This window comes from Homo sapiens, chromosome 7 (genome assembly GCF_000001405.40).
Source record: "Homo sapiens chromosome 7, GRCh38.p14 Primary Assembly".
In the NCBI taxonomy this organism is placed as follows: Eukaryota; Metazoa; Chordata; class Mammalia; order Primates; family Hominidae; genus Homo; species Homo sapiens.
Window position 1 is genome coordinate 144646189 of NC_000007.14, and position 23647 is coordinate 144669835.

Below are 23647 nucleotides of genomic sequence, written 5' to 3' on the forward strand. Positions count from 1 at the left end.
CAATCTCAAGTTGTAGGAAATAGTTTTATTCAAAACAGTAATAATAATCTCTTTTTTTTTCTTTCTTTTTTTTTTTTTTGAGAAGGAGTTTCACTCTTGTTGCCCAGGCTGGAGTGCAGTGGCGCAACCTTGGCTCACTGCAACCTCCGCCTCCCAGGTTCAAGCAATTCTCTTGCCTCAGCCTCCCGAGTAGCTGGGATTACAGGCGCCCACCACAACACCCGGCTAATTTTTTGTATTTTTAGTAGAGACAGGGTTTCACCATGTTGGCCGGGCTGGTCTTTAACTCCTGACCTCAGGTAGTAATAATAATTTCAAGAAAACTAAATGTTAAAGAAAATTTTCTAACGTTAGTCCTAAATTCTTATGAATACACAATTATGCATTTTTACAAAAATTCATTTACAAAGATGATTTTAGCAGAGTTTACAAAGCAAAAAAATGCACACCCGAAATGTACATTAATTGGGAATTGGTTAAGTGAAATAAGGTACATTCATTAAATGAAGTTAAAATGATCCACGAGAAATATATAATAATTAATGAGGATATAGGCAACAATTATGTATTATTAAATGAGCATATATAAATTATAAGCTCTTTTGAAATATATATGTTTAAAGGATTAATTTTTACATAATGGTGATAAAATTTCCCCAAGATTGTGTTCCAACTTGTCATTTTGTAAGTTTCCATTTTTTTTTCCTCATTAAACTTTTTTAATGGGTCTCAAAATTCTGTGACAAATTTTTGGTCAAGTTGTTTCCATTAAAAAGTACTGATTTTAAAAACTAGTAACTTAAAACTGCCACAGGCAAAAAAGAAAATCAAGGTGGTCCACAAAACATTCTCCTTTCCTTCTGAAAATTTTACAATGCATTGTTATCATTAACCAGTCTTTTACTACTAAACGTAAATGGCCAATTGAAACAAACAGTTCTGAGACCGTTCTTCCATCACTGATCAAGAGTGGGGTGGCAGGTATTAGGGATAATATTCATTTAGCTTTCTGAGCTTTCTGGGGAGACTTGGTGACCATGCCAGCTCCAGCAGCCTTCTTGTCCACTGCTTTGATGACACTCATGGCAACTGTCTGTCTCATAGCACGAACAGCAAAGCGACCCAGAGGTAGATATTCTGAGAAGCTCTCAACACACATGGGCTTGCCAGGAACCATATCAACGATGTTAGCATCACTCGACTTCAAGAATTTAGGGCCATCTCCTAGCCTTTTACCAGAACAGCGATCGATCTTTTCCTTCAGCTCAGCAAACTTGCCTGCAATGTGAGCCGTGTGGCAATCCAGTACAGGGGAATAGGCAGCACTGATTTGGCCTGGATGGTTCTAGATAATCACCTGAGCAATGAAGCCAGCTGCTTCCATTGGTGAGTCATTTTTGCTGTCACCAGCAATGTTGCCTTGATGAACATCCTTGAGAGACACATTCTTGACACTGAAGCCCACAGTGTCCCCAGGAAAAACTTCACTCAAAGCTTCATGGTGCATTTCGACAGACTTTACTTCAGTTCTAACGGTGACTGGAGCAAAGGTGACCACCGTACCAGGTTTGAGAATGCCAGTCTCCACTCGGCCAACAGAAACAGCACCAATACCACCAATTTTGTAGACCCCCTGGAGGGGCAGGTGAAGGGGCTTGTCAGTTGGACGAGTTGGTGGTAGGATGCAATCCAGAACCTCAAACAGCGTGGTTCCACTGGCATTGCCATCCTTACCGGTGACTTTCCATCCCTTGAACCAAGGCATGTTAGCACTTGGCTCCAGCATGTTGTCACCATTCCAACTAGAAATTGGCACAAATTCTACTGTGTCAGGGTTGTAGCCAATTTTCTTAATGTAAGTGCTGACTTCCTTAATGATTTCCTCGTATCTCTTCTGGCTGTAGGGTGGCTCAGTGGAATCCATTTTGTTAATACCAACAATTAGTTGTTTCACACCCAGTGTGTAAGCCAGAAGGGCATGCTCTCGGGTCTGCCCATTCTGGGAGATAACAGCTTCAAATTCACCAACACCAGCAGCAACAATCAGGACAGTACAGTCAGCCTGTGATGTCCCTGTAATCATGTTTTTGATGAAGTCTCTGTGTCCTGCGACATCAATGATAGTCATATAGTACTTGCTGGTCTCAAATTTCCACAAGGAGATATCAACGGTGATACGACATTCATGCTCAGCTTTCAGTTTATCCAAGACCCAGGCACAACTTGAATGAGTCCTTTCCCATCTCAGCAGCCTCCTTCTCAAATTTTTCAATGGTTCTTTTGCCAATGCCAACGCACTTGTAGATCAGATGGCCAGTAGTGGTGGACTTCCCCGAATCTACATGTCCAATGACGATAATGTTGACGTGAGTCTTTTCCTTTCCCATTTTGGCTTTTAGGGGTAGTTTTCATGACACCTGTGTTCTGGTGGCAAACCCTTTGTGAAAAAGTGTAAGTTTCCATTTTGAATGTATGTTACAATTGCTAAAATAAAAAAACTATAAAAAGTAACCAACCAATGAGTTTATCAATCTCTTCCTATACACCATGACAATTGGAAACATAGAAAAAGCAACCATATGAGAAAGATCTTGAACAAAAAAATGTTTATAATTTACCTTAGTAGCATAGTATTCTCTGACTTCAGGCCTAATAGAATCAAAGTCTCCATTGATGAATTCAGGCAAAAAGCTGAAAGAAACAGTAAGTAAAGTAAGTCAACTAGTTATTTCTATTTATTTTTGAAACTTTAAAACTGTGGCCAAGTGCAGTGGCTTACAACTATAATCCCAACACTGAGAGGTTGAAGCAGGAGGACTGCTGGAGGCCAGGAGTTCAAGACCAGCCTGGGCAACATGGCAAGACCCTATCTCTACAAAACAATTAAAAAATTAGCCGGGCATGATAGTGCACACCTGTAGTCTCAGCTACTTGGGAGGCTACACTGGGAGGATCACTTGAGCCCAGGAGTTCGAGGATATAGTAATCCATGACAGCATAACTCCAGCCTGGGTGACAGAGCAAGACTCCATCTCTAATTTAAAAAATAAAACTGTGATTATAAGGACCAAAGAGAAAAGTAATGTACTCAGAACAAAACCAAAAACACAGAAACTATTTTTAGAGAGAATAGGATGTTATACCACATGCTCTTGGTTTCAATGACTGAGGCAAACAACAGGTATCCAACCAATTCATCAACTCAGTCACAATGTCAGAGAATACTTCTTTTTAAACAAATCGATAAAAATTAAAGATTATTGGTTTAAAAAATCCTAATAGAAATACTCATCATCTTTGCATATTACCTTGTATATATATATAAGGTTTTACATTATTGTATCCTCACACAAATTCATAAATTTCAACAGATATGAATAGAACAAATGATCATGAGGATTCTTTGAAATCTGTCCCAAGCAAGAGTCAGTTCAAAGACATTTTCCAAATATTCTATTGACATATTTCTAGACACAGGAATCTTTTAGATAAGTCTGAAATACTACAAGAGTCAAGGTTATTAAATAGAGAGAGAGATTCACAAATGTGGTTGCTTCTAATAATATTACTACTGCCTTTACTTTTTTCCCTGCTATATTAAGTCAGTTTAGAAAGCATACCTTACTCCATCTATTATGCATAAACCATCATTTGCTATTTTTACATAAAACATTTACATGATCTGGTAGAGTTTCTTCCCACTTAAAACACCTAATTGTAGAGAAATAAAACATCCCTGGATTTCTCAGTACTATGCAGAAATCCTTAGCCTGCTGAGCCTCAGAAATGTATATGATACAAAGAAGGGAATGGTTGCTTTCACTTCCTGTAATAAAAATATTCCACCCTTCACATGCCATGAGAATTAAAACTGCAAACATTTATCTAGTTAACTGCTTTGATTCAAAATACTAAAACTTCTTAGGTCTTCTCAAGAGGGCCAAATTGTTATCTGATGAACTAGGTCCCTAGCTAAAGAAGACTGGGGTGTTATATTTCTGGGTATTACATGTCAAAAAAGGTGAAGCCCCAGAACTTGGAGAAAACTCTATGTCATAACAAGAGGTGACAGCATGCTGGCAGCCCTCGCTCGCTCTCGGCACCTCCTCGGCCTTGGCGCCCACTCTGGCTGCACTTGAGGAGCCCTTCAGCCTGCCGCTGCACTGTGGGAGCCCCTCTCTGGGCTGGCCGAGGCCAGAGCTGGCTCCCTCAGCTTGCGGGGAGGTGTGGAGGGAGAGGCACAGGCGGGAACTGGGGCTGCACGTGGTGCTTGCGGGCCAGCGCGAGTTCCAGGTGGGTGTGGGCTCAGCGGGCCCCGCATTTGGAGTGGCCGGCTGGTGCCACTGGCCTCAGGTAGTGAGGGGCTTAGCAACCAGGCCAGCAGCTGCGGAGGGTGCGCCAGGTCCCCCAGCAGTGCCGGCCCGCCAACGCTGCTCTTGAATTATCGCCAGGCCTCAGCTGCCTCCCCACAGGGCAGGGCTCAGGACCTGCAGCCCGGCATGCCTGAGCCCCCCCACCGCCACCCGCCATGGGCACCTGCGTGGCCCGAGCCTCCCCAACGAGCGCCGCCCCTGTTCCGCAGTGCTCAGTCCCATCGACTGCCCAAGGGCTGAGGAGTGTGGGCGCATGGCACAGGACTGGCAGGCAGCTCCACTTGCAGCCCCGGTGCGGGATCCACTAGGTGAAGCCAGCTGGGCTCCTGAGTCTAGTGGGGACTTGGCGCACCTTTATGTCTGGCTGGGGGATTGTGAATACACCAGTCAGCACTCTGTGTCTAGCTCAAGGTTTGTAAATGCACCAATCAGCACTCTGTATCTAGCTAATCTGGTGGGAACCTGGAGAATCTTTATGTCTAGCTAAGGGATTGTAAATACACCAATCAGCACTCTGTGTCTAGCTCAAGGTTTGTAAATGCACTAATCAGCACTCTGTATCTAGCTAATCTGGTGGGGACTTGGAGAACCTTTATGTCTAGCTAAGGGATTGTAAATACACCAATCAGCACTCTGTGTCTAGCTCAAGGTTTGTAAACACACCAATCAGCACTCTGTGTCTAGCTCAAGGTTTGTAAACATGCCAATCAGCACCCTGTGTCTAGCTCAAGGTTTGTAAATGCACCAGTCAGTGCTCTGTATCTAGCTAATCTAGTGGGGACGTGGAGAATCTTTATGTCTAGCTAAGGGATTGTAAATACACCAATCAGCACTCTGTGTCTAGCTCAAGGTTTGTAAACGCACCAATCAGCACCCTGTCAAAACAGACCAATCAGTTCTCTGTAAAACAGACCAATCAGCTCTCTGTAAAATGGACCAATCAGCAGGATGTGGGTGGGGCCAGATAAGGGAATAAAAGCAGGCTGCCTGAGTTAGCAGTGGCAACCTGCTAGGGTCCCCTTTCACACTGTGGAAGCTTTGTTCTTTCACTCTTTGCAATAAATCTTGCTGCTGCTCACTCTTTGTGTCTGCACTGCCTTTATGAGCTGTAACACTCACCGCGAAGATCTACAGCTTCACTTCGGAAGCCAGCAAGACCACGAACCCACCGGGAGGAATGAGCAACTCCCGACGGGAGGAACGAACAACTCCAGACGCACCGCCTTAAGAGCTGTAACACTCACCACGAAGGTCTGCAGCCTCACTCCTGAAGCCAGCGAGACCACAAACCCATCAGAAGGAAGAAACTCCAAACACATCCAAACATCAGAAGGAACAAACTCCAGATGTGCCACCTTTAAGAACTGTAACACTCACCGCGAGGGTCCGCAGCTTCATTATTGAAGTCAGTGAGACCAAGAACCCACCAATTCCAGACACAATAATATATAAAACACGGGGGGTTATCTGGCTCCTGGAGACATTCTATTAATATACCAAAGGGTTTCAGGATTCACGTCCAGAAAATTTCTATGGAGACCCTTTCACGAGGGGAGAAACACAGCTGTATTTTCTACTTAATAATAAGAAAAATAAAAAACAAAAACATGTTGCCTTATCCTTCACCTATGGGTGTGCAACTACCAGCAGAAGACAATGGACCTGGCTCTCACTGCTTGGGCAAAGGGGTAACAAACTAGGGCAAAGGGGACTAATGTTATGACACATCTCTCTCAGAAAATCTGATGTGTGAGTTCAGAATAAAATTAATAGAGACAAAATTTGGAGAAAAAAATGCAAACCCTGTCCTTTAGCACATTTATTTTTGTAAGGTTCTTGACTCAATTGGAAATACTATTTCTGAGGTCAAACCTAATCTAACTGATCTGTGTTGGGCCACCTCTTCTTTGAGTTACCACAAAGATCTGTACCATATAAATTCCTTAGCTCGGATGAGCTAGGCCCAACAATTTTTTTATTAGTCAATTCATTCCACAAATATTCCCTGAACACCAACTATATGCAAAAGACTACAGCTAATCTCAGAAAAAAAGTAGAACTGGAAAGTAAATGTAAGTACTTAGGTGTTCAAATCACATCTGGTTTCAACATCTTCCCATAAGCTTTCTTCCTGGAAACTTCCCTGCACACTGTATCTATTACTTTCAATTTCATTTTATACCTATTTAGGTAAATAATTTATACCTTACCCTGTTAGGACCAAAAATAGACTATTAAGTTTTTTTCTCTTTATTTTTTCTTGTTGTATAAATTCATTCATTTTCAAAGTTTCTTTACAATGTTTCCACCCATCTCCATATAACTGCATGCAAATTAATACTCAGATGAATCACAGAATATTAGGGCTGGAAGGAATAAAAGAAATTACCCTTCTAATATCCTCATTATCCTTTCTGAAGAACTGAGATCCAAGACGTCAAGGGCATTTTGTCTGTAAAGCCAATATCCAATCTATTTCACCAAATAAAGCAACCATTTAAAATTAGGACTCTGGGTCTCTGCTGGTTCAAGCAACATCCTGGGAAGACCGACTTTATGTTGCTCTCCAAATTTTAGTCTGTCAGATCTCTAGAACCAATTTGGCAGTTTCCAAATAGCATATTGATTTTGTCAATAAATAAAAATGAAAAATAAAAGCTGATACACACAGGCAACTGAGCATCTATCCCCTTAGGGACAATTCATCCTAAAGACAATTAGATCTCGCTATATCTTACACTGTGAATAATGAAAGAAAGCATTCATGCAAATTCACTTACATTTTAGTGGAAAATATTAACAGGAAAACAAACTTATATAGGTAGTAGATACCTAACTTCTGTTAACTTTTAATATAATTTTCTCCAATGTAACATGTATGCTTTCAAATTGAATCAGGATGCTTACTTCTAAGAAGGCCCATGCCAAAAATACACCTGGTATTCATGCTGAGATGACTAAAATAATTATAACTTTTGGTCATATAATGCACTCGTTTTTGAAACTTGCTGAAATGTACTTTTTGACGCTGCAATTAAAAGCCCATCTCACTTTTCCTGAGGTGCCTGTTGCCATGGTGCCTGGGCATTCTGAAGAGGAACTTACTGAGGATGACACTTCACAGATGTAGAAGAGCTATGTTATGATATAAATGACAGTTTACACAAGCAGATTATTTTCAGAACTCTCTGGGGACTGATTACACGTAGCAACTGACTGTGGGTATGTGGATTTGTGTAGCCACTGACCATGTTTCTACCTACTGTCGACTTAGACACACCGATCTATCTTTTCTTTGCTATCCTCAATCTATGGGCACTGACTTGTTAGTACTGAAAGGTGTCCCAAACTCTCCACAAATGGCCCAGACTCCTTAAACGTTTTCATTTTAACTCTTTCCATACTGGTCACTCATTCATGATAAAGTAAGAGTCCAAAAAGTACTGAGATCAATTAGTGAACTTAAGATCCATCACATGTAATAATCAAGAGGGAGGCTGATAAATTTAGGAAATATTCTAAATACAATGGAGTAGATAGAATATAACTACTGCCTTTACAGGGCCTTTCCTGATACCACTAAAGGAAACTGTCCCTCCATAAAGCCGGGTTTTTTTTTGTTTTGTTTTTGTTTTGCCCCCAGGAAAGACAAACTTATTCCCTTAAAACTTGAATGGCACTAAAATCTCTTACTTTCCATTTCATTTTAAGCAAGTTGTTTGTCTTTTAGCTACTAATAGATGGTAAGGCCTCTGAAGCAGGATGTGTCTCTGATTGATCTTGGTACGCCCCAAAGGATAAAGGGCACTGACGCTGAAAATGATATAATAAGATGACGAGGTAGAGAAGGAGAACGAAGGGAAGAGGGAGAAAATGGGGGGCGGGGGGCGAAAGAGAGAGAAGAGGAAGTAGGAGGAACAAGGAGAAAAGGAAAGAAGGGTGAAGAGGGGGAAAAGAGTGAAGTGGGGGAAGAGGAGATAGGAGAAGGTGGAAAATGGTACAAAGAGAAAAGCCAGGAGAGGAAAGAAAGGGCAAGAGGGGAGCAGAAAAGAAGAATGAGGAAAGAAACATTTATTAGGCACTTACGATTACAACTGCCCCTCCCCCCACTTTCTAGCTTGTGCAGATTATTTAAGCTTTTTCTGAACCTCATGTCTCCATGTATAAAATGAGGATAATTTAGAGTGCTTGTGAGGATTAGGAGTTAATATATATAAAGCACTTGGAAAATGCCTGGCACACAGTAAGCACAGTTTAAGCTATTCAGTTCAAATAAAAATTATTGCAAGTGAAGTTAAGTAGTTTGCCCTAGATAATAAGGCTAATAAGAGTTAGAGCCAGAACTCAAACCCAGGCAGTTCACTCTCTGTTCTTTAATGGCTAAGTATACAGCCTCCCACATATATGCATTTACGAAACAGAACAACGATGTTTTTGGTAGAGAACGTTCTCTGCATAAATGTACTCTTTCCTGCTGATTTTATTAATCACCACTAATTTGGTCAACCTATATAGTTTATAAAGGTTTCCCTGAGGCACAAGAGAAAAAGGATTTGTGCTAGTTGTACCAGAAGGAAGGACAGGATCTTGAGGACAGACTATGTTAGGAGAAGAAAATTTGGGAATATTGTTGAAGAGCATGAATACAGACATAGAAAGAAAGTAGTATTCAGTCTGATAAAAGAAGGAATGAATCATTTAAAGATTTGTGCTAACATTCTCTGTAAAATCATATAAATTTGGTGGGGGGGAACAAGAGTGACACAAAATATAATCCACAAAAACGTTACCACATTTTGACTATGTTTATAAACACAATCAGTTCAACTGCTTGCAATAAATAAGTCTCTAAATATAATAATAGTGCCAAAAGATATTTAAATATTTGTGTAAATTTGGGTAAGAGACAGAAAACACAACAATAAATAAGTTGACAGATTATGTAAAAATGTAACAATATGTTAATAAAAAGGTCAAATTATAACTTTTACATATGCAAAATATATAACCCATAAGAATTTCTGTCCCCAACACACGAAGAGCACCCCAAAGTGGTAAAGGAAAAAGATACAAATAGAAAAAGTGCCAAAGCCTATTCACACAAGCAGTAAGTATATGAAAACATGGTAAATCTAAAATAATTATCAAGGGAATAAATTTTGAAGCAAAAATTGAGTACTTTCTTTTACACAAAAACTTAAAAATTAAGAAAAGTGAAGTGGGTATTGACAAGGCTGAGTGAAAATAGGCGCAAACACAAGACTAGTGAAGTCGTGACTAGGATACTGCCTGCAAACAGGCAATCCCACTTTAGGAATCCATCCTGGCTTTTTTGTTTGTTTTTGTTTTTGTTTTAACAGTACCTAGGATATCTGCACAATAAAGCAAGGGAAATAACAAGGAGAGAAAAAAATGGAATGTTCAACAATATAGGGAAGGTGGAATAAAACATAATGTAACCTGTTAGGGAAAGTAGGCAGCTTTTAGATGAGCTAACCACTGTCTACTGTTCTAGAGGGAATGCCCATCACATGTTACTAAGTAAAAAAAGCCTAAATATATTTGTGCATTTTTGTATAGACACAAAGGAAGTTATGGAAGTGAATGATTCAAGCTATTCACACTGATTATCTCAGGGGATGGGATTAATTTTTCTTTGAAAAATTTTATAAAGCATACCTTAATTTAATAAGCTAAAAGAAAATTAATAATGCCACTTGTGAAAGGAAATAAAAATGTGAAGGAAAATGAAAAATTAACTGAAAACGCTTAGACTCTGATTACAAGAATATTAAATAGTACTTAGCAGCCACTGAGGTTGTTATAAATGACTTTAGTTAAGTTACCCAAAGAAGACAGTGTTTTATCTCTTAGAATAATTGATCGCATCGTCTCAAACTGTCTAGCCCAGGATTCATCACAAGGCAGAAAATAACATTGTTTCCCAAAATAATTATTTAAAGATGTCTTTATATGCTAATGACATCCAGAGGGAAAAAACAGTAACAAAAACATTAACAAATGAAATATAATCTCCATATCACCTAGTTAAAATAATGATTGGGGAACAGAATGAGGATAGATCAATGACAAGAAAACATATATAATTTTGCAGAAGGCCTCTTCATTGAGACAAAGAAGGAAACACAGAAAAAGCTGCCAAAAAGAAGAAGACTTGAGGGCTCTTACCCTAGAGAAAACCTTCCAGGACACATTTTTTTGAATATTTGTTCTATGCCAGTCTCTGTATTTTATTCATACATTTTATGTTTATTAATCAATATAATTTTAGCTAATTTCCATAACACTCCCATGAGGCTGATGTTTATCATCTGAATTTTATGGTAGAAAGCCAGGACTGAGTGATATGAAGCCACCTGCATTGGTGTCACACAGATTCAAAAGGTCTTCTCTCCTTCTCCTCCTGCTTTCTTCATTGAACAACATATGCCCTTGACCGGCACAGAGAAATAATCCTGCTCCACCTCCTTCACAGGATGCAGTTTTACTTTTTCGAAAATCCTGGCCCTTGTCTGTAATCTGCTTTGCTTGCATGCCCAACAGAGGTGCACAGTCATCAAGCCGCAGCAAGAGGGCAATGCAAAGTTGCTCCACAGCACAAGTGACAGGTCCCCAAGCACACTCTCTCGTGAAGCTAGGTTCGTGGTTTGTTTTTATGAATGGAGAAGTGGGGAAGGGAGGCACCATCACAAAATCACATGAGGCTTCTAGACAGCATATTTCATTCTAGTTAGTAAACAAACAAATTTAATATTCAATTCCATAACTGAGAAATCAGCATAAGCAATGTAAATTTTATGGGTTAGTAGGAAATTAAAACATACAGACTGCTACTTCCACCCCTGCAATGGGAATTAACCTCTCACTGCAGCCACTTAGAAAAGCCACACAAAAGAAGTAGAAATTCAGACAGCGGAAAAATGACAGCTCTGGGCAGTGATTACTGTATGATTCTATAATGGTGGATACATGTCACACATTTGTCCAAATCTATGCAATGTAAAACACCAATTGTGAACCCTAACATAAACTACAGACTTTGGGTGACAATAATGTGTCAATGTTGGTTCCTCAATTGTAAAAAAAAATTCTATCACTCTGGTGAGGGATGTTGATAACGGGGAAACTAGCAATGTGTGGGGATATGTGCTATCTTGGCTGTCTTTGTATCCTTTCCTCAATTTTCCTGTGAGCCTAAAAACTGCTCTTAAAAAATAGTCTTAACAGAATGGGCAATGGATCTGAATAGAGGAGAAAACAATCTGGCAATAAATGATTAAACATGGAGTTACAATAAAAACATATGGCAATTTTATTCCTAGGTGTATACTAGATATAGAGAGAAATGAAAACATGTGCATACAAAATCTTATACACTACAACTTGGAGGAACCTTGAAAACATTATGCCAAGTGAAAGAAGCCAGGCACAAAAGTCCACATAACATATGATTCCTTCCATTTGCAAATACCAAAGAGGAAAACCTAAAGGGACAAAAAGTAGATTAGTGGTTGTCAGGGCTGGGGGAAAGAAAGAGGATGATAGTCGAAGGGTACAGGTTTCTTTTTGAGGTGGTAAAAACGTTCAGAATTGGCAGCAATGAAAGAGAGTTCCTGTTGCTCCGCATGCTTGCCACTACCGAAAATGGAGATGGTTGCAGCTATCTATGAACACTAAAACCTCTGGACTGTAGACTTTAAATGGGTAAATTATTTAGAACATGGTTATAACTGAATAAAGCTGTTAAAAAGTAGTAAGAAAAACGTTATCAGACAGCTTCATCTAACTGGTATTTCTAGAATATTCCAGCCACCACCAACAGATATATACATTCTCTTTAACTTGCACATGAAACATTCTTCAAACTAGACACTATTCTAGGCCAGGGAGCAACATTTTAAAAAATTTTTTTGAAACGGAATTTCACTCTTGCTGCCCAGGCTGGAGTGCAATGGTGCGATCTCGGCTCGCAGCAACCTCTGCCTCCCAGGTTCAAGCGATTCTCCTGCCTCAGCCTTCCGAGTAGCTGGGATCACAGGCATGTGCCACCACACCCGGCTAATTTTGTATTTTTAGTAGAGACAGGGTCCATGTTGGTCAGGCTGGTTTCCAACTCCTGACCTCTGGCCCGCCTCAGCCTCCCAAAGTGCTGGGATTACAGGCATAAGCCACCGCACCAGGCCTTATAATTTTTTTCTTAAAGAGCAAGACAGTCAATATTTTAGGATCTACGGGCTATAAGGTCTCTGTCACAACTACTTAACTCTGCCACGGCAGCATGATAGCAGCCGTAGAAAATAAGAAGATAATAGGCATGGCTGTGCTCCAGGAAAACTCTGTTTAGAGTAGTTTGCCAACCCCTGTTTTAGGCCATAAAACAAGATTCAATCGATTTAAGAGGGTTGAAATCATAACAAGTATATTCTCTAACACATACCTTTCTCTCTTTTCTCCCTTCTTCAAAGTAATCAACTGTAATTAGTACTCTCTAGAATGGACTATGACTGCTATCAGAATTAGTTGAGGCTTTAAAACCTCCATTTATATAAAGCAGGCCTGTATTAGTCCATTCTCACACTGCTATGAAGAAATATCCGAGACTGGGTAATTTATAAAGGAAAGAGGTTTAATTGACTCACAGTTCCGTATTGCTGGAGAGTCCTCAGGAAACTTACAATCATGGCAGAAGGCAAAGGAGAAACAGGCACCTTCTTCACAGGGTGGCAGGATGGAGTTAGAACAAGCAAGGGAAATGACAGATGCTTATTAAACCATCAGATCCCGTGAGACTCACTCACTATCACAGGAACAGCACGGGGGAACCGCCCCCACGGTCCAATTACCTCCTCCTGGTCCCACCCTTGACACGTGGGGATTATGGGGATTACAACTCGAGGTGAGATTTGCGTAATGACACAGAGCCAAACAGTATCAAGATCCTTGAATAACGTCCTTTCATTCAAGGTCATTTCCTTATAAGGTTGATGAGGAAAAAACCTGGCTAGGGCCATTAAATGTATAGGGTCTGCATGATCTCACCACATCTATGTGGGCTTTCTCTAGGTACTCTGGTTTCTACCTACATCCCAAAGATGTGCACTTTCGGTGAACTGGCTGTCTACACAGTCCCACTGTGAAAGTGAGAGTGAGTGTGTGTGTGTGTGTGTAAGTGTGCCTCAGAGTAGAATGTGTCCTGTCCTGGATCAGTTCCCTCTTTGTCCCCTGAGCTGCCCAGAAAAGCTCCAACTGCCCATCACCCTGAACTGAAATAAGCTGGTAAATAATTATCTTGCTTGTTGTTTTCATTGATCTTTCTTCACTTGATCTTAGCTAAAAGGCTGAGAAGTGATTTTTATTGATTTTTCTTAAATGTACATATAGCTCATATTTATTTCAGTGTTAAATACTAGAAGTGTTTGGTCTTTATTCAGAAGTTTGGTGATGTTTTTGTGACAAGAAACATGCTGTAGGAACTTAACTCTTGCTGATACCAATTAGCCTAGGGTAAAATGGGTTTTCTTTTATGTCATTTTGGTTAAAATCAGTTTCTAAAAAACTATCAACAATGTTAAGGATTTACTGTACACAATAATACTGATATTAATTGAAACCAATTATATTAAAGCAAGTTAAAAATTTTAATTTTCCTAATCATATTGTATCCTACTTATTTACACTAGTTTAAGTTGTCGCACTAGATTATATATTTAGTTAGATCTTATATTTAGTATTTATTCATAATTATATTTAATGAATATACAGCTAATTTTGAAATATTTTATAGTTCAGGCACACACAAATTTTGAAAAAGATACATTTTAAAAAGTCACTTTATTATTGCCTTACATTATAATTTCAAATTTTAATCAGTACCTAAAATGTTACATAAAGATTATTCTTAATATAAAACAGTAATTTCATAATCACAAATTTAATTAAAAAATTTAATATTCAGTGTAACATTTGCTAAGATACTATTATATTAGGCTTAGTATGATTTATCAGAAATGATTTCACTGTATCTCCAATGCTAGCAGTTTAGTATTATACATTTAGGTGGTAGAATGTGTTGTCAGTAACTTTCACGACTCATGATGACAGATTTTCCCTATAGGAAAGAAAATATCTTGTCTGCTTTTATGGCTTTGCTAGGATTTCAAGGTTCAGAAAACTCTATATAAGTGTCCAGCAGCTTCTGGAAATGAGATTATGTCCAGTCTAGAGAACCAGTTTACATTTTTAACGACCTGTCTAGTTGGAGAAAAGGAAGGATGAGATATAAGGAAGAAAAAGGTAAAGTCAATAGCAAACCTAAAGTAAAAAAGGTTTTTGATGAAAAGCAGTTTAAAATTTACTATCAACTTTTTGCCCAAAATGTACTGTCTCCTTTGCTCTAGAAAAAGAAAGATGAAATCGCTAAGAAAAGAGGACAAAGGAAATAAAACTTATAGAATATTAACAATACATACATGAAGAGCAAAAACTGTGTGCACATAATTGTATACAATTGAATTAGGTACTACATATGAGATACAATAAACAATACATTAATTTTTATGTACTACATATAACCTAGCAAATTTTCTCTGAGGTGATTAATACGGCAAGAACTAAATAGGAGTTTCTGTGAAGATAGTTTCTGTACTAAATCACATGTGTTATATGATGTGATTCCAAAAAGCAAAATTTATAATTACACTGAAGCACATGGACTATAGTCATTTTATTCTCTTTCATCGTTCCTGAAAGATGCTGAGAAAAAGAAAAGTGGGTTGCCATTTACTTAATTAAGGCTTACTGCTGCCCATCTAAACACACGGCAAGCAGAATGATTTAATATAAAACTCTTCTAACAAGCCACCACCATCTATTCCTATAAGATAGGCAAGTCACTATGGCATTCTATAAGCTGATTCAATCAACCTTTCTAATCATATTTCTCAACATTCTCTTATGTAAACAGTATACAATCTTAATTTTAAAATAAAAAAAACCAATATGTGAGTCTTGTAAATAACAAGAATAAGAACAATATTTTAGACAGAGTTTGAGATTGTAGAATATTTCAGGGTCCAAGTTCAGCTAAAAGTTGCAAACGCAGAAGGAAAGCTCAGGAGAGGCCAGAGCCAAAACTACACACTGGTGAATCCTCCATCTATAGGATACTTAATCAAATTCATCAAATATTTATTAAATATATATTTTATATATACTAGACTACTGATACAATAGTTGTCACAGTCCCAACAGGTTTGAAGTCTAAGAGTAGGGATAGACAAGCCAGGCCATCATGGAACTGACACTATAAGTAATTGACAGAGTGCTACAGTGGCACACAAGAAGTGCCAGGCTTGGGGGAGCAAGCTAGTAAGAGAAAAGGAAGGAAAGGCTTCCTAGTAATTGATAGGACAAGAAAAGTCCAAATAAATAAATGAAGCCATGGCAAGAGGGTGAGAGAGAAAAATAATACCCAGATTCAGGGAATAGAAAGAAAAGTAGGAAGACAAAAGTGTTTGTAAAAGAAATGGTATGAAATGAGGGAGGAGCAAGGAAGACCATGAAGGCCACTTCATTTCTTAGCTCACAGCTTGCTATGTTCTGAATATCTATGCCTCCCCCCGCCAAAATTCGTATGTTGAAACCTAATTCTCGATGTGATGGTATCAAGAGGTAAGGCCTTTGGGGGAGGATTAGGTGAGATTAGTGTCTTTATAAAAGAGGCCTGAGGCGGTCTGCCCCTTCCACTATGTGGGGACAAAGTGAGAAGATACCATTTATGAACCAGAAAACAGTCCCCCACCAGACACAGAAGCTGCTAGTGCGATGATCTTGGACACTGCAGCCTCCAGAACTGTGAGAAATAAGCTTCTGTTGTTTATAAACCACACTGTTTATAATATTTTGTTACAACAGCCCAATCACTTAAGGTCAGTATTGTTATGTGTGAATTTGATCCTGTCATTATGATGCTAGCTGGTTATTCTGCAGACATATTTACGTGGTTGCTTCATAGTGTCACTGGTCTGTACTTCAATGTGTTTTTGTAGTGGCTGGTAATGCCACTACAAATATTTCAGGGTCCTGAAAAGGACCATATTTAGTGCTTGCTTCAAGAGCTCTTGCAAGGCCTGGTGGTGACGAATTCCCTCAGCATTTGCCTATTTGAAAAGGATTTTATTTCTCCGTCGCTTATGAAGCTTAGTTTGGCCAGATATGAAATTCTGGGTTGGAAATTCTTTTCTTTAAGAATGTTGAATATTGGCCCCCAATCTCTTCTGGCTTGCAGAGTTTCTGCTGAAAGGTCTGCTGTTAGCCTGACGGGCTTCCCTTTGTAGGCGGTATGGCCTTTCTCTCTGGCTGCCCTAAACATTTTTTCTTTCATTCTGATGGTGGAGAATCTGATGATTATGCATCTTGTGGTAGATTTTCCCATGGAGCACCTTATTGGGATTCTCTGCATTTCAAGAATTTGAATGTTGGCCTATCTTGCTAGTTTGGGAAGTTCTCCTGGATGATATCCTGAAGTGTGTTTTCCAACTTGGTTCCATTCTCCCTGTCTCTTTTGGGTACCTCAGTCATAGGTTCAGTCTCTTTACATAATCCCATATTTCTCAGAGGTTTCGTTCATTCCTTTCATTCTTTTTTCTCTATTCTTGTCTGCCTATCTTATTTAAGTAAGATAGTCTTCAAGTTCTGAAATTCTTTCCTCTGCTTGGTGTATTCCACTATTGATATTTGTGATTACGTTGTGAATTTCTCATGTTGTGTTTTTCAGCCCCATCAGGTTGGTTATGTTTCTCTCTAAACTGGCTATCAGCTACTGTATTGTTTTTATCATCATTCTTAGCTTCTTTACATTGGGTTACAACATGCTCCTTTAGCTCGGTGAAGTTCATTATTACCCACCTTCTGAAGCCTAGTTCTGTCAACTCAGCCATCTCAGCCTCAGCTCAGTTCTGTGCCCTTGTTAGAGGGGTGTTGCAGTCATTTGGAAGAAACGAGGCACTCTGGCTTTCTGAGTTTTCAGCAATGTAAGTGGGCTGAATGCCCCAATTAAAAGACACAGAATGGCAAGCTGGACAAAGAGCCAAGAAACAGTGGTATGCTATCTTTAAGAGATCCATCTCATGGGCAAAGACACACATAGACTCAAAATAAAGGGATGAAGGAAAATTCACCAATCAAGTGAAAAACAGAAAAAAAAAACAGTGGTTGTAATAGCTGGAAAACCCCATTGTCTCAGCCCAAAAGCTTCTTAAGCTGATAAGCAACTTTAGTAAAGTCTCAGGCAAAAATTGCTAGCATTCCTATAAACCAATAACAGCAAGCAGACAAGCAAATCATCAATAAGCTGCCATTCACAACTGCTCATAAGAGTGAACAGACAACCTACAGAATAGGAGAGAATTTTTGCAATCGATTCATCTGACAAAGGTCTAATATCCAGAGTCTACAAAGAACTTAAACAAATTTACAAGAAAAAAAAAAACAACCCCATTAAAAAGTGGGCAAAGGGCCGGGCGCGGTGGCTCACGCCTGTAATCCCAGCACTTTGGGAGGCCGAGGCGGGCGGATCACGAGGTCAGGAGATCGAGACCATCCCGGCTAAAACGGTGAAACCCCGTCTCTACTAAAAATACAAAAAATTAGCCGGGCGTAGTGGCGGGCGCCTGTAGTCCCAGCTACTTGGGAGGCTGAGGCAGGAGAATGGCGTGAACCCGGGAGGCGGAGCTTGCAGTGAGCCGAGATCCCGCCACTGCACTCCAGCCTGGGCGACAGAGCGAGACTCCGTCTCAAAAAAAAAAAAAAAAAAAAAAAAAAAAAAAGGGGGCAAAGTACATCAACAGACACTTCTCAAAACAAGACATACATATGGCCAACAAATGAAAAAGAGCTCAACATCACTGGTCATTAGAGAAATGCAAATCAAAACCACAGAGATACCATCTTACCATCTCGTGCCAGTCAGAATGGCTATTACTAAAAAGTGAAAAAACAACAGATGCTCATGAGGTCAAGGAGAAAAAGGAATGCACTGTTGGTGGGTGTGTAAATTAGTTCAACCATTGTGGAAGACAGTGTGGCCATACTTCAAAGACCTAGAGGAAGAAATACCATTTGACCTAGCAATTCCATTATTAGGTATATATCCAAAGACATATAAATGGTTCTATTATAAAGATACATGCACACATATGTTCACTGCAGCACTATTTACAATAGCAAAGACATGGAATCAACCTAAATGCCCATCAATGATAGACTGGATAAAGAAAATGTGGTACATATACACCATGGAATACTATGCAGCCATAAAAAGGAACGAGACCATGTCCTCATGTCCTTTGCAGGGACATGGATGGGGTTGGAAACCATTATCCTCAGCAAACTAACACAGGAACAGAAAATCAAACACCGCACACTCTCACTTTTAAGTGGGAGCTGAGTGATGAGAACATATGGACACATGGTAGGGAACAACACACACTGGAGCCTGTTGTTGAGGGGAGGGGAGGGAGAGCATCAGGAAGAATAGCTAATGGATGCTGGGCTTAATACCTAGGTGATGGGATGATCTGTGCAGCAAACCACCATGGCACACGTTTACCTATATAACAAACCTGCACATCCTGCACATGAATCCCTGAACTTAAAATAAAAGTTGAAGAAAAAAAAAATAACAGCCCAATCAGACTAAGACATAGCTGACTTCTCATTCAATCACTTGTATTTACATGTGGCTAGCCATGCTACAATTTTTAAAGAATGAGTGACTTTGCAGGATCTCTTAGCCCCAAAATAGAGCTTTGTATAATATTAACGTATTCAATAAAAGTTGTACAAGTAAACATTTCCTCTGGCTCTGAACATCAGGTCACTTCCTCTTCAGTCATTTGTTGTAATTATTTGTTTTCCGAAAGAGGCCAGAAGGGGTGAGAAGAATGAAAGGTTATTTTAATAGAAACTAACCTACGGAGTTATTTTCCTAGAAGAACGTGGTAGCGGCAGTAGGGTAAGGTAGTGCCAGAAAATGCGATATATACATTTAGAAGACTCATGCTAACCCCTATGTAGTCCAGAGTGGAAGGTTTCATCTTTTCTGATTTACAAACATGAAAGAGTCCCAAAGTATATTTATAGGTTAATGCCAATTCTTCACCTTAACAAATATAAAAAGCTAGCTCAATGATAGTGAATTACTTTGTGTAATTTGTTTGCTTTATGCTTCTCTCTGTGATTCAGCTGAGACATAATCCACAGAATTCAATAAATACAGCTAGTGATTAATGCCATTAGGGTCACTAATAGGTTGTCTGATCCTCCCAAGTTTTCCAAAGCAAAGAGTAATAAGCTGCCTAGCTACAGTTTCTGCTAGTAGAGTGTTTTTCATCTTGATTCTGCCTTTCCAATACAGCTTCCCTCACAGCAGGAACTAAAACCTTACTTAAGAAAATGACACAAACACACGAAAAAGAAATTTCTTATGGCATACACTTTCTTGGTGAAGTAAGTACTGTATTTTCTACCTTGGATAGTTTCTGTTTTTATCTTGCTGCTGCCATCCATTATATAGATGTATGAGTCACTGTCCTAAAAGACAGAGACTAAAGCATGGGTGGTTCTCTACGGTATTTAATACTGATCTCTGCATTATAGGAATCCAAAAGAATGCAGCCAGATGATAATGGCTTGGGTACAGGCCACCCAGAAATCATAAAATCATGAGATGACTATTATTAAAATTAAAAAGAATATTAGGAAAAACATTTAAAAGAAATACAAAAGACAAAGGGTGAGTATCCTTGTTCAAACAGAGTTGATCCCAATAGCTTATAAAATGAAAATAAAATCATATAGGAAAAATGAAATAGAAAAAAGACATGACACAAAAGGGAAGGAATTTAAATAGCAGATATATAATCTCTAATCATACACACACACATACACACACACACACACACACACACACATATTTTCCAATGCCAAAGACTTCCATATTGCTAAATCTAATGGTCAATTATCCTATGTTACTTTACCCATCAGATATATATAACACAAATGATCACTCTGTATTCCTTGATTTTCTTTCATCATTTAAGGACCATGACCATAGTTTCCTGGTTGTCCCCTAACTCATGGGTTACTCCTGCTTTGTCCCTCGGAATTTTTAACACTGGAGTATTCCACAGCTCAGTATCTGTACTGTCTGCAGTCATTAGGTTATTTTCACTGTCTCATGGCCTTATATGGCTTTCTATATACTGATGACTCTGTATCCAACAACCTACTCAATGTGAGGTGGATAAATAACTCAAACTTAAATCACTGAATCTCTTCTCTTTCCCCCACTGTAACCACTACTCTTACAATCTCCCCAATCTAAGGAAAAATCATTCTTTTCTAGTTGTTTAGTTCAAAATCCTTGACTTTTCTTGGAGTCATCCTTCACTTTTCTTTCTTGCACCTAGTAACTGATTTGTCAGCCAGTTCTATAGGGGAAAATACATTCTCAATCTGGCTCTTTCTTTGCATCCTCCGTGGTACAATCCTGAAAAAACAGCTGATGGCATTCCTCTGCTGAAAACCTTCCAGTGACTTCCCATCTCATTCATAGTAAATCATCAATACTATCTACAAAGGAACTTTAAGATCTACCCTGTTATCTTTCTGATCACTCTCCTTCCTAGTAAGTTCCCCTCATTATCTCCACTTGCAGATTGTTTGCACAATTATCCATAATTATTTCCTCCTCCCAATCTATACCCCTTTATAATGTGACTTTCCAGACTGTTTCATCACAAGCTATTAATATGCATCCCTTTCCCCACCTCAATAATTTGTATTAGCCTTGAAACCTGCTTTCACTTAAAAAATGCAGTAGAAGTGACAGCATGGCAGTTAGGAATAGAGGCTTCAAGTGGAGCTGCAGCCTTCCCTTTGCTCTCTTGGAACCCTCCCCTGTTACCATGAGAGTAATTCTGAGCATGCCTGATGGATGGAGGATGAGACTGGAGTCAGGTACAGCTTACAGACATCCAACCTCTAAACATGTGGGTCCTTTCTACATGCTGACATCATCAACAAAACTGCCTACCCAACTGTGATATCATGATATAAGAGGAAATATACATTTGGTCTTCACCTCTCGTTTCCGATAAAAGAGTTGCCAAGACCCTTGGAAGCTCCACAGTAATGGGTGTCTTTCGGTGTCCTGATGAGATGACTGGTGGCTGGGGGCCTCGAGGAGAGTTTCAAGTTGGAGGCTGATACCCAAGAAAGACAAAGGCATGATCAGAGTGTGGAACGTTCATACCCACCACTCCCAGTGGAGCTACAGATTATGCTAATCACCGATGGCCAATGATGTAATCAATCATGCCCATGTAACAGAACCCCCATTTAAAAACCCTAAACAATGTGGTTCAGAGAGCTTTCAGGTTGGGGAACATATCCACATGCCGGGAGGGTAGTGTATCCCAAAGCCAAGGGGGACAGAAGCTCCTGCCTTAGGACTTCTCCAGATCCCACCCTCTGTACCACATCAGCTGGCTGTTCACATTCATCCTTTATAACATCCTTTTATAATAAATTGTAAACATAAGTGTTTCCCTGAGTTCTGTGAGCCATTATAGCAAATTACCAAACACGAGGAGGGAGTTCTGGGGACCCACTAGTTGCAACTGGCATTTAAAGTGCATGGCAATCTAGTAGGACTAAGTCCTTTACCTGTGTGTGTGTTGGAGGGTGGTGGTCTGTGCTTACTCTGAATAATGTCAGATTGAATTAAATTGTCGGACACCCAGTTGGTGGCCACAGACAACTGGCAAATTGTTTGATGTATAAAACCCAGATGTTTAGTGGCAGAAGTGTTGTGAGTACAGGAACAGTTTTCCTTTACCAACCCACGTAACTGGCACATGAATGAGCCCACAAGATCTGCCTAGCTGACCTTAGACTTGTGAGTAAATAAATAAATCAGTGTTTAAAGCCATTAATTTTGGGGGTAGCTTATGATACAGCAAAAGCTAACTGATATCATTCTCATGTCTCAGGGCCTCTGCACAAGCATCCCCACTTCCTGGAAGGTTCTTCCTTTGGCTGAGCAAATGGCTTGCTTCTCCACCCCCTGCAGGTCTTAACTCAGAAGTCACCTGCTCAGTGAGGCTCTCCCTCACTTTAACTGCTAACAACCTACTGCAAAGCATGCTACCTCTTCTCCTGCGTTATTATTCTCCTTCTCACTAGTAATATACTTAATATTTTAATTATTTGTCTTGCTTATTTCCTCTATGGGAGGTCAATGAAGTCAAGTATTTTGCTCTCCGCTGCATCATAGGTGACTACAATAATGCCTGTTATATAGAATGACTCCATAATTAAAATATGCTAAAATAATAATGGAATATGATTTCCTACATAATATATCAAAAAAACTTAAGTTAATAAATCTGGCAAGAGCAGAGAGAAATGTAAATTGTCTTATACTGTTGATGAAGGTTAACTTAAGCAACAATATTCTGGAAAGCAAGTTGTCAACTTAGACTTAAATACATTTTTTAAAATTTATAACTTCTGGAGCATGTCTTAACGTCTGTGAAACTACTGTAAGTGTCACAAACTCATACACTTATAATACTACTTAATGTTTTTATAATACTTAACAAAGTTTTATTTACCAAAGATTTACTTATAAAAAACTTATAAGCTGTCTGGGCGCAGTGGCTTACGCCTGTAATCCCAGCACTTTGGGAGGCCAAAGTGGGTGGATCACCTAAGGTCAGGAGTTTGAGACCAGCCTGGCGAAACCCCGTCTCTACTAAAAATACAAAAATTAGCCGGGCGTGGTGGCGCACGTCTATAGTCCCAGCTACTTAGGAGGCTGAGGCAGGAGAATCATTTGAACCCGGGAGGCAGAGGTTGTAGTGAGCCAAGATTGCGCCACTGCACTCCAGCCTGGGTGACAAAGTGAGACTCTGTCTCAAAAAAAAAAAAAACACACAACTTATGAGCTACATAACTTTCTGATATATGGAGAATGGTTGAGAGATAAAAATGTAACAAAATTTATATATAATGACTTGGTAGCATGTTCATAATATAATGTTAAAAACAGGCATGATATAAAGCAATATATAGATAAAAATCTGTATTTCATTACATGTACACACATACATACACAGAGCAATAAACATACAAAAATGTAAAATTGAAAAAAATTATATATGTAAAAATATTAACAGACGTTATCTATA

General features: G+C 39.3%; 1 protein-coding gene and 1 pseudogene across 43 annotated transcripts in view; both read right to left on the reverse strand.

Annotated features, from left to right (window-relative positions):
• TPK1 (thiamin pyrophosphokinase 1) overlaps positions 1-23647 on the reverse strand; it is a 384497-nt gene that overhangs the window by 194248 nt on the left and 166602 nt on the right. For 30 of the 43 annotated variants that reach the window (NR_146934.1, NR_146935.1, XR_001744630.2 and 27 more), the window contains one exon: positions 2619-2691. The exons of 3 other annotated variants lie outside the window; for them this stretch is intronic. Coding sequence is in view for 26 of the 40 variants with exons in the window: in XM_005249970.2 (XP_005250027.1) it covers positions 2619-2691 (73 nt within the window). In the remaining 14 variants the exon portion in view is untranslated. Of the gene's footprint in view, positions 1-2618; positions 2692-12831; positions 12836-20431; positions 21468-21537; positions 21659-23647 lie in introns of those variants that run through there. 10 more of the 43 variants (NR_146936.2, NM_001350883.1, NM_001350882.1 and 7 more) reach the window with 3 other exon arrangements.
• EEF1A1P10 (eukaryotic translation elongation factor 1 alpha 1 pseudogene 10) lies at positions 801-2450 on the reverse strand (annotated as a pseudogene).